The 12350-nt window shown below is 42.7% G+C and overlaps 1 protein-coding gene across 1 annotated transcript in view; it reads right to left on the minus strand.

Moving 5' to 3' along the window:
- The window catches only part of MYO5B (myosin VB), a 372359-nt gene that overhangs the window by 204158 nt on the left and 155851 nt on the right, over positions 1-12350 (minus strand). Inside the window, exon 4 of the mRNA NM_001080467.3 lies at positions 9904-10048. Within this exon, the coding sequence (NP_001073936.1) occupies positions 9904-10048 (145 nt within the window). The remainder of the gene's footprint in view (positions 1-9903; positions 10049-12350) is intronic.

Raw genomic sequence — 12350 nt, forward strand, 5'->3', positions numbered from 1 at the left:
ACTGTCCCTGGACACTCAACTCTTAGCCGCCTTGCTTCCCAGCATGTTCCTTTGCTGCAAAACTCAGGCCCATTGTCAGACTAGGTTTTCAGCTGCTCTGTCTTCTGGGATATAAATGTGAAAATACACAGTAGAAAAAGAAAGAGTGGTTAACACAGCATGAACGGCATTACTACGAGGTAAATAGCAATGCCATTTCATCCTGCTAGGCTTCACATTCTATTAGCTTTTTTTAAATGAAAATTATTTTGGACACACCTTGAAAAACTAAATCCTACTCACATGTCAGCACCATTATTAATTCCAAAAGAAATCCATGTAGGGTGACAAGTTTGACTTTGACATCAGGAAAATGCTGTGTAACTAGAACGGCGTGTAGGAGCCACAGAAGCCCACACCCAGGAGGGTTCTGCCTGCACAGGGCTCCATGTTCAGTGCTCCAATACTTGAGCCCATTTATGCCTTACAGTGACCTGAGGAAACAAGTGCACACACACATGCCCTTGCTCCAATAAAGAAATGGCACACCTTAAGTGAAGGAGCTTGACCCGGGTGAAGCTAGGACGCTAACTGGGGTCTGTGCTAGTCCACCTCACACACAACCAAGAGTGCTCCAAGAACAAGTCATGATTGACTAACCCAGTGTGTGCAGGTTTTAGCAAGACTTAGTACACATGAACACTTGACTCAATGTTTAGTTCTACCAGATTAAGTGACTAGTACCTGGAGAAAAAACTGCTCCATGCACATTACAGGAATCTATGCACATTACAGGAATCTATCCAGATTACCACTTCTAGATAAGAACGACACAACAGACTCGTTACATCTGCAGTGCATCAAGCTAGGGAGACCTGATCTATTAGATGCAAAACTCAGAATTCAAAAAGATAACATTCACAAAATAGCAGAACACAAGTACAAGGGTGAAATTTAATATGGATAGAATCCTGCTCAGCATACCAAAGGGAAAAAACAATCAATTGAGCAAGTGCAGGATGAAGGCAACATACCTTAAGAGCAGTCTGAATTTACACTGACAGAAAGCAAATTAGAGGTTACCTGGGGATGGAGGGAGACTTTGAAAAAAGAAAAAACACAAGAAAACTTTCAGGATTAAGGAAATGTTTGCTATCTTGATTGTGGTGATGGTTTCAGGGATGTATACTATACAATGTCTAATTGTATGTGCAATTTAATGTGTGTGACTTCACTTTAAATATGTGTAGTTTATTGCTAGTTATTTACATCCCATTAAAGCTGTGATTAAAAACAGTTCTTGAGTGTGCATGTGGGTGGGGCAGGGAAAGGATGGAAATTTAGTGGCTTGTAAACTTATAATAAGTAAACAACATGAAACACCTGCCAAAAATAAATGCATTTTCAGGCTCCATTAGAAATTCTGCATGAGTACCTCATCACGTCACATTCTGCAGACCACATCCAGCGACCATCAACATCAGACAGAAAGACCAGATGACATCTCAGGGTGGCCAGATAGGAGAGTGTCTGAAAAGCCATGCTCATAAGGAATGGCAGTGGGGGGAGCCAGGAGGCTTGGGCCAGAGTGGGGGGCAAGGACAGAAGGGGCTGCCATATAAGAAAATGATCATTATCCTGGACAGCTGCACAGGAAGAGCTCAGATCCATGCCTGAAGGCAAATAGAGACTCAGTAAACTGCTGTGTGATACAGAAACTCCTGACAATGAAAGCTGTTAAAATGTAACTCATTTGAGAAAGCATCCTATACTGGGAATGGTAGGGCAGCATCCAAAAGACCACTTGCCAGAACACAGTATCCTGCACAACTAATTTCCACCGGGTGACGCAGGCTCTCTCCTTTCTAACATGCTGTGCTTCTCCAAGTAAAATAGTGAATATTAAGAAACTAAAATATCTCTTAGCTTTGTGATTTCAAGTTGAGATTTAACCTCACAAATCATGTTGGGTACACTGCAGATATGCAACTGTTAATAATATTTATGACCTCTGCAGGGTCATAGAAGGCAGGCAAAGGAAACTGCCTCTCCTATTCTTTCCTAAATGCATAATTTTAAAAGGAGATGGCAATATCCATTTACTATCAGTTTCTTTTAAAATAGGAATGTCATCATTAGCCATATTCACTGCACACTTAAATAACTTTCCCCTACTCAGAAATTTTAACAATAAAACTAGCAATTTGAATATGATAGGTAGACACAAACAATAATACCATCTAAGGATCAAAAACAATTTCACAAAACCTTAGTGCTGTATCATCCCTAGGGGAGGGAGATAGGTGTGCACTGGCATGGCTGTGCAGGAGGTCACAGAACGAGAGACCCAGGTGAGCAGGGAAGAACAGGGACAAGTGAACAGCCCGGAGCATCCCAGGAAGGAATCTGAATGTGGAATGCTCAGGGCATGTTCAAGAAATAAGAGACAGGGCCGGAGAAGAGATTAAAAACCATTCCTGTGTTCAGACATTTTAAGCATCTCTTATACCTTGTCCTAAAGCAATTCTGACTAACCCTGACTTGAAATTATATTGAAAGGAAAGAAAAGTTCACCCAAAATTCAGGGCTGACTGAAGTCCTGGTTTCAGACTTTACTATAAAATTCACCCAGTCATTGCTCCCTACTCACTGACCTCCCCAAGGATTCCACCATTCACTGTACTCAACCATAGCCCATGAATCTGTCAGCTGTAACAACTGTGCCCAAAGTCTTACGGCACTCAAGAGCTTTCAAAGGTTCCTCATGACTTCTCACTGGATCCAAGTTCCTCTCAGAAGCAAGGCCAATGTTCCCCTCAAAGTGTGAAGATGCTGAGAACCACAGAGGTCAGAGAGTCTACCCCTGGACACATGGCAGGTTGGGAGAGAAGAGGTTACTGGGGGCAGACCCTTGCATACTCCTGCATAGCATACCACTTACAGGAAAAACCTGGCTCCACACTCAGATCAGCATGACCACATTCTCTCACTGAAAACCTGAGGCTCAATTAGGAAGCACTCCACATCCCCAACCTCCCCAAACAATGTAACAGCCCAGAATAACAAACCACCTTATGCCAAAACTGAAGGAAGAAACCAACATTATTTTATTTAAAACTTGATCTCAAAGCAACATGAAGATTTAGGTCACCTCTGTATAATTCTTTTATGAAAGATGTATTTCCGAAGATCCAAGTTCAACAGAATCTGCAGCCTGGAGTTGATTGCAAAAGTCCTGAGTCCATTCTCATGCATCCCAGAGCATTCCATCCCCATCATTAGGAAGATAAAGTTGTCAATTCTATTTTTAATTGTCGTTTTGACCTCCAAAAATGGAAAATGCATAGCTTCCTCGCTCCCTTTCCCTTCTGCAATTTATTTCCACAATCAGGAATTTCTCTCATTGCCCTGAGGAGTCAATGTGCTCACTAAGGGTTGTCCCGGCAACAGAGGACAGCCTGTCACTTCCACTCATACTATCAGCCTTGCAACCTCTTCCCTCCTGTTTACCAAGAGGGACACTTTTGGCTTTTTCACGATGGACACTCATTTCCATACTGCTTCCCTGGAAGATCATCAAATTCTCTACATGCTCTTCACACTTATGGGGATCCAAATCAAGCAAGAGACCCTCCTCCAAGAGCCCAACCAGGACCACTAACTAGAATCCCTATCCTTGCCGAGCACAGGCTCTCACCCTCATGGGCTCCAGATCCCATCTCCAGGCTGGCTCCCACTCTAGCAAGGGTGCATTTCATTCCTCACCAGCTCCACCCTCCACAGGCCTCCAAGCTGCACACCCCTCCCCAGGACCCCAGGCAACAGCAATCTCATCTTTCATTATTAGTCACAGCTGGCAACACAGCAGAGACAGATGGGAATGTGGGTGCTGTATTACCTTGGTTACCTGAGCAAATAAATTTGCTCTGCAGCATCCCCACTCCCTTTCAGAAAAAAAAAAAAAAAAAAAAAAAAAAAAAAAAAAAAAAAAGCACAAATAAAACACATGGCTCAAAAAAGCAATCAGACACCGCCAGCCAAATAAGATGGCACACTCCCACCAACAAGGCTGGAAAACACACCAAAACTGTAAGGACAAAGATCTATCCCTTTTGCCCCTTAGTGCTACTTGGGGGACCAGAATCTGCTCTGTTCTGACAAGACTGGGGCTGAGCAGACAAAATTTAGAGAGGCGGTAGGGCTTCTTTGCTAATGCAGGAAGCTCTGGGGCAAACAGATTGGGTCTAAATTCCATTGCTACCCATTAAGGGAGGTAGAACAGCTTCTTGGCTAATGCAGGAAGCATTGGGCAATCAGATTGGGTCTGGGTTCCATCTCTGCCCATCTAGGGAGGTAGTATCATTTTTCTCAGGTAATGGAGGAAGCTGTGCAGCAAAGAGGCTTGGGTCTGAACTCCATCTGTACCCAGTTACTGTCTTCATGACCTTGGAGAACTATACAGCATCCGAAAGTCTCTATCCTCATCTGTATTGTGGGGATAACTAATCTCAGACAGCAACTCTGAGAATTAGATGCATTAATGAGAATAATTCCTATTCTTTCTTGAGCACCAATCATATGCACTGGGGTAAAGCATGGAAGACAAAAGAAATAGAACATAACACTGTGCCACAAAGTCTCACACTTTATAATTCCCTGCCTTTCATCCATACTATACACAGATAAGTTCTTTCCACAACAAGCTAAGTTTCTGATGAGAAGGTATTCTTATCCTTGGAAATGTACAGGAATATGGAGAAGAAAATATCATTAAGAAACAGGACCCAACAGAGAAAAATTTTTCTTTGAACATCTCTTGTATCATATTATTTCCTTATCCAAGACACTAAAATTTCTCCATTGCCCTATGCATTTCTCAAACAGTGTTGCACAGAACATTAGTCCCTCGAAATAATCTTTGAAAACAGTTTTGTGTCTAAATATGATTTGCAAACCCAGCATAATGGATCCCTATCTTGGAAACTCAGAAGGCGTGTCAACATAAGGGCTCTGGGAAGCTCTGCCTTAAAGGAAGACGTTTAACTTGGTTAACCCACGGTTTCCCAAACTCGTTTGGCCAACTTTGTACTGTGTTAATAGAATACATTTCTTCCCCAAAGTTCACCCCAGCCTGCAAAGGCCTCCACAGTCTTGCTTCACCTTGTTTCTAACTTTACAGCCCAGAACACCCCTGCAGATCCATTCACCATGTAAGTTAAACTTGCCTAGGTACAGTCTCCTGGCCATGTCTTTTTGTTTATAATAGCTTTATTAAGATATCATTCACAGAACACACAATTCACTCATTTACTGTGTATAATTCTATGATTTTTAGTACATTTGCCAAATTGTGCATCCAGCAGCACAACCAATTTTTAGAACACTTCATCACCCGCCACAACCACCCCCCAAAAAAACATAACTCTCAGAAATCATGCTTCATTTTGCCTCAACCTCCAGCCCTAGGCAGCTGTAAATCTACTTTCTGTCTCTATAGATTTGCCTATTCTGGACATTTTATAGAAATGGAATTAGACAACACGTGGTCTTTTTTATCTGGCTTCTTTGATTTAGCATATTTTCAAGGTTTATCAATGTGGTAGCATGTATCAGTTCTCTGTTCCCTTTTATGGCCAATAATATTCCATTGCATGGATATTCCTCATTTGATTTATCCATTCATCAGGTGATGAACATATAAGTTGTTTTCACCTTTTGGCTATTGTGAATAACACTGCTAAAAACATGTGTAAGCTTTTGTGTAAATATGTGTTCTCAGGCCGGGCATGGAGGCTCATGCCTATAACCCCAGCACTTTGGGAGGCCAAGGCGGGTGGATCACCTGAGGTCAGGAGTTCGAGACCAGCCTGGTCAACAAGGCAAAACCCTGTCTCTACTAAAAATACAAAAATTTAGCTGGGTGTGGTGGCAGGTACCTTTAATCCTAGTTACTCGGGAGGCTGAGGCAGGAGAACTGTTTGAACGTGGGAGGTGGAGGTTGCAGTGAGCCAAGATTGCACCATTGCACTCCAGCCTGGGCAACAAGAGTGAAACTCATCTCAAAAAAAAAAAATGTGTTTTCATTTCTCTTGGGTGCATACCTAAGAATGGAATTGCTGGGTCATAGGGGGATTTTTGTTTTACTTTTCAAAAAAACCATCAGACTATTTGCCACAGCAGTTGCACCAATTGACATTCCCACTAGCAGGGTGTAAGAATTCGAATTTCTCCACATCCTTGCCAACACTCATTATCATATCTTTGATTGTAGACATCCTAGTGAGTGCAAGGCAGTATCTTGTGGTTTCATGATGCCTTTTGACGCCCCACTTCTGAGGTCATGGTCCACTACTCCACCCACCTAGAGGCCCTCTTCTTACTCTGTGCATCCTACCAATTCATCAAGACCCAGCTAAAATCCTAGTTTTCTCGGACGATCTGTGACATTAGGTCTCCAAGCGCAATTTAAATGACACCGTGGCACAGTTTCTATTTATACTTCCTGCAATTATAGGCTTCTTGGCCTACGTACGTCTTTTCTCTCCCACCAGACAGTGAGCCCCTTAAGAAGCAGGGTGAGGTCTTACATTTCCTAGTGGCCAGTATTGAGCCTATCAAATAACTGATACTTTATAAACATCTGCTGATAATGATTTGATGGAGGACCTGAGGTTGGAGCTGAGGAAGGTAAAAATGAGTGAGTGGGCCTTCTGGGTCTCAGACAGGGAAGGAGGAGTAGAAAGCACACAGCTAAGAAGTGGAGGTAAGCCCCTTCCTCACAGGATTCTCATGCAGTGGACAGAATTCATTAAAATGACGTTTCATAGGATTTTAACACCCCCTTTTTCTTCACTGTGAATCTGCATTCACCCTCAAGCCCAGACTTGGTGAATATGACAGAGATAGGCACAGTGAACAAATCCTCTTCTCTTACGGCTATCTCCTCTAACTTTCCTCCAGCACTAGCAGTTCTCTCCTGGAACTCTTGGGGGGTGGGTATGGGGGGGAATAAAGATCTATACTTAGTCCCTCATGCTCTCACAGAGTCTCCACACCTACTCAAAGCATCAAGAGTTCCTGTGTGAGCCACATCAAGAAAGAAAATCCAGTCCCCAGTGAATCAAGAGAATCACTGAGTCCAAGGCCACCTGAGTTGTAGTCTCCAAAGACTGAAAACTATTAATGTTAGTTTCTTACACCTTTCATTTCACCCAGCTGTTAGGCAGGTTCAAATTCAAAGTACACTGTGCTAGCCTATGGCTACTTGAACCACATAATTATTTCAATGACTACTGATGAGTCAGAAAAAGCACAACAGACAGTTGACAAGTACTGTTGAATGAATGTGTTCTAGTGTCTAAAACTGATAGAGAAGACCCATACAGGAAATACAGCAAAAACTTGTCCTGCATCTAACCAATGGGTCACCCTTCTTTCTTGGCTCAACAGATTCTGCTGAGGCTTCCAATGTACATCTCAGATCAGTAACAGAAACCCTGAGCTGCTGACAACAGAAGTAATTCAAAATTAGCTCTCAGTCGTGCGTGGTGGCTCACGCCTGTAATCCTAACATTTTGAGAGGCAGAGGCGGGTGGATTACCTGAGGTCAGAAGTTCGAGGCCAGCCTGGCCAACATGGTGAAACCCCGTCCCTACTAAAAATACAAATATTAGCCAGGTGTGGTGGCAGGCACCTATAATCCCAGTTACTCAGGAGGCTGAGGCAGGAGAATCACTTGAACCTGGGGGGCGGAGGTTGCAGTGAGCTGATATCGCAGCACTTCACTCCAGCCTGAGCGAAAGAGCGAAACTCCATCTCAAAAACAAAACAAAACAAAACAAAAAAACCAAAAAAACAAAAAAGCTCTCCCCTGTGGCCACATGTGCTGGTCTTCCTACTTCTAATGCATGTTCATAAGCAAAAATTGCAGAAGAACTTCAGCAAAATTAGGGACCCAGTGGTAAAACAAGTATAAACCTTAAAACCTTAAAGAAAATCCTTAAGGAAGCAATCCCAGTTCAGCTTTAACATCCAAACTCTCTACTGACAAATTCATTACCCTAGGGCAAGACAGTATCACACCCATCACCCCAGACTCCCACACGTCCTCTTCCCCATAATGGGTGCAAAGGTCTCAAGCAAGTGAAATAACCCAATTGTAGGATAACCATGGACTCAGCTTCAGGCACGGCAGAGAAGAACAGAGGAATCTTGTCAAGAGGGTCTACAGGGTGGATAAAGCTAGAAGACTCCACAGGGTGGAAAGCTAGAAGACTCTCAAGCCTACAGGAGTCCACAAGCAGCTTTGATGAAGAATGGAAACTTCTGACACACCTAAGTGCAATGGCCAAGAGAATGGGATGAAAGCATCCAGCCATGACAGGACAAGTCTTAGAGCGCTGTCAGAGCTGTTGGCATGGTATAACATGGTAAGAACCAAGCCACATCTACCTTCTCTTTCAGAACCATAAAGAAACCATCTTCTAAAGGAGGAAAGAGTGTCGCTGTTCTCACATGAAGTGCATGTAGACTCAGGTGAATTGATTCTTCCAAAGCACAGAATCCGTTCAGTCCCAAGGCCTCCCTCCTCTGTGCCATACCCGCGGCCTCCAACAGAAACTCATGCGCAGGCTGCATACTGTGCAACATGCTAATGCTCATTCTTCTCTCCACACAATCTTCTGAACCACACACCATTGGGTAAGAGGTACACATCAATGAGTTGCCAAGCTAAGGGACTCCTAGTTGAGCCCTGATAGCAGGTTAATATAGTGTATGGTCTTTCTTTTGGCATTAGAGAAAAGTGAAAGATTGCAATAATTTTAGCTCCACTCTTTGGAGAAATAAAATAGTTACAGATCATTCTGTTTATTAGATTTTTCAGCTCTCCAATCAGTGCTTATTTTGAATATATCACTGAGTATCTATAATGAAGCAGACCTTTTATATACTGATCTCTACAGCCAGCAATAAAGCACTATAAATCTGCAAGGATGCCCATAAAACAGTCTTCCCTCATGGAAATTTTCACTGGGATGAAAATGATACCCTGAAATCCACTGAAGCACAGACCACCTAGAATGGGATTCTCCCCCTACAAAAATCACTAACTCCTTTTACTAAATTAATCTAAATAGCTTTCCTTCTCCAAAAAGACTTTGCTATATGTTGCCAGCTCCAAAAAGTGTTCTCTAGAGGTGACAAGAAAAACTTGGCTGAAAGAATCTAGCATTTTAGCATTAACTGAGACCTGCATTTCCCCCAAAACATTGATAAAGCTATCTTTCCCTACTTTATGCTGAAGTTACAGCCCATCACCCAACCCATTTTCTGAAGAAACAGATGTGCTATTTTTCAGAGTGAAAAGAATAACAGCAATAAGGAGGAGATCTACTTAAATGCCTAAACAGAGCTCCACTTCCAGGCTAAAAACCCCAAACCACTATGCACAGCTGCCAGTTTGAAACTTCAATTTCTGCCCTTACGTGCTTGGCATCCCAAGAAGTTGTCAAAGAGTCCTGGTTTCTTCAAAAGGGAGTCTTCAGTGAGACTATCTGTAGATCAGGCTGGGGTAAATGAATGGAGATGCTAGCAAATGAATTATATTATACCATAAAGGGAGGAAAAGGGGCCAAAAGGAAGTCAAAGAGAGATGAAATGCAAGGAATTTATTCCATTGCTCAAAAAAATGAAATAAGTCTAAAGAGCCACTGCTCTCCAAGTCTAGGTTCAAGTTCACAAGAATAAGATAAAGGCATGAAGAAATGAGGTAGGCAGTAGAACTTGGGCTGCTTTGTTTCCAAGATGTTTCCTCAGTCCCAATCTCACCACCTCACTGTGAGCATCAGTTGCAGAGGAAGGTAAAAACTCCCCTTCCTGCCCACTGACTACTCAGGAGGACTTCTGGGCTGAGGACATTCTCACCTGGCCATCTGCTTGTAGGCTTCTTCTGCCACAGCAAAGATGTGGGGGTCCATGTCTCCCATGTTTTGGCCACTGTAGGTATAGATGACATCTTGTCCATAGATTGGCAACTGTTCATAAGGATTAATGGCAACAAGTACGATACCTGCAAACAGACAAGGTGGTCAGATTCCGACAGCACAGAAGACACCTGGCATTATTAGCTCAAGGCACCCATCCATTCATACACATGCCAAAAACCAAAGAATGAGAGGGCAGCAGAACCAGTCTTAACCAATCAATCAGCTCAATCAAGGCTCATCTGTGTGCTTCAGATCTCCAAATACCCTACAGCCTGGAATAAGCATACACACATACACACACACAAACACACACACACACACACACTCACTCACAAATGCTAAAAAAAAAAAATTGAGTTAATAAAATAGACATGTGCAAGGTGTTCCAGGATCAGAGAGAAGAGGATATTAAATTCTACCAGTATATATTAGAGAGACTTAAAAATCCATCTCAGAACTAAAATCTGGGAAAGGATTATACATTTTCTCATTTGTATATTGGTTATCTTAACTAAAATACAAATAACATGCGGACAGAGAATACAATTTACATATCTTGAGATCTAATCTTGGCTCAGCCAACTATGTCATTTTTGGCAATTACTTCTCAGTACTTCAGTTTCCTCAACTGTTACATAAAATGGAGATAACAACTGCATTTATCTGGGACATCCTAAGGAAAAATGATGAATTGTGCGAGGGAAAATGCCAGGCACGGTGGCTCATGCCTGTAATCCCAGCACTTTGGGATGCTGAGGCAGGAGAATCGCTTAAGGCCAGGAGTTTGAGACCAGCCTGGTTAACACAGTGAGACCTCTTCTCTACAAAAAAAGTATTAGCTGGGCATGGTGGCATGGACCTGTAGTCCCAGCTGCTCGAGGAGTCTGAGAGGAATGCTTGAGCCCAAGAGTTCAAGGCTGCAGTGAGCTATGATGGCACCACTGTACTCCAGCCTGGGCGACAGAGTGAGGCCCTGTCTTAAAAAAAAAAGAGAACACTTAAGACCAGTGCCTTGTATAGTAAGCACTGCATGTTTGCTATTTTTTATTACACCACATCTCAACTTTTTTCCCTTACACCTTGTGTCCCCTAAAGAATGGATTGCAGTGATGGACTCAGTAAATACATGTTGATTGAGCAACCAGGAAATGCTATAAAGTTCAGATAATCTTTTATGGATGATGTGAGGCAGGTTGATATTTGAGCCTGTAGAAGGAAAAAATTGTGAATTTGATCTTTCAGACAAACAGAGATATGCCTTTTTCTTTCCCATAAGGTCACATTCTGGATGTCAGAAGACCCACTGACTGAGGTACAAAAACCAGAAGCCTTTCCAGTCACTTGGGAAGGAGAAGGCAATGAAAGGGCGACTGCTAAGATGGGAAGTCTCCGACATTGTGTTCCCTTCTGGTGTCTGAAAAGAGACACTGGGAACGCGAAGTGTAATAAACCAGATTATTCCACATAAAGGGGAAAGGGCCAGGGGGTAAAAAAGACACTCAAGTCCTCTTGAAAGAAGTTTGCCTGAAAAGACCAAAATATAAGGCCCAGAACCCTAACAAATTCCACTAATGCAGCTAATCACTTGGAGAATCCTCTTAGGAACAGCCTCACATGTTCTGCTTGTTATTAGAGTTCTATAAGATTCTAATTCACGTAGCACGCAATTCACATTTCCGTATCATACTCCGAGGTCACGTGTTTTCCTTAAACATCCTGGCCCCTCCAGAGCAGCATCTAGTGCTTCCTGGATGACTCAGACTTCTGTGCCATTCAGTCACTCTGAACAGCTTGAACTGGAGGAGTCAAGATGCATTTGGATAAATATGTACAGACACTGGGACATCTTAGAGGGTATTCCTTTAAAAACAGAACCTGATGGTCACTTATCTTTTTCTCCTAAAATAGGAGTCAAATTTTAAAAGTCTCCTTTTTGAAGTAAATATCTTATTAAAGGCTCTGATAATTGACAGTTTGTTTCAAATAAAACTCCCACCAGCAGTTGGAGTGAAGGAGCTTTTGGGAAATCACAGCTCTCAAGCACTGGAATCAACTTGCTATCGACAGCTCCTGAAATCTGGAAGAAAAACTCACCCTAACTTAGCAGCTAAAACTATCAATTCCAAACCAAAGTGGAATATAAAAGTGAAAAACCCCTGAGTGCCTGAGGTGTCACTTATGACAATGAGCAAGACCACAGGGCACATGCGAGGCGTTCCCTCCCGGGACAAGACCACAAAGGAGCGACTCCCACAAAGGAGCCCAGCAGCCGGAATCCCCAACCAGATCCTCAATTTGCCTCTCAAACAACGGTTTATAGGGTTCTATTTTTGCTTTGCCACTTAGCAATACTCTTTAAAAAGAGAGAGAGAGATCAGAATTTGT

Source organism: Homo sapiens, chromosome 18, assembly GCF_000001405.40.
Source record: "Homo sapiens chromosome 18, GRCh38.p14 Primary Assembly".
Taxonomy (NCBI): Eukaryota; Metazoa; Chordata; class Mammalia; order Primates; family Hominidae; genus Homo; species Homo sapiens.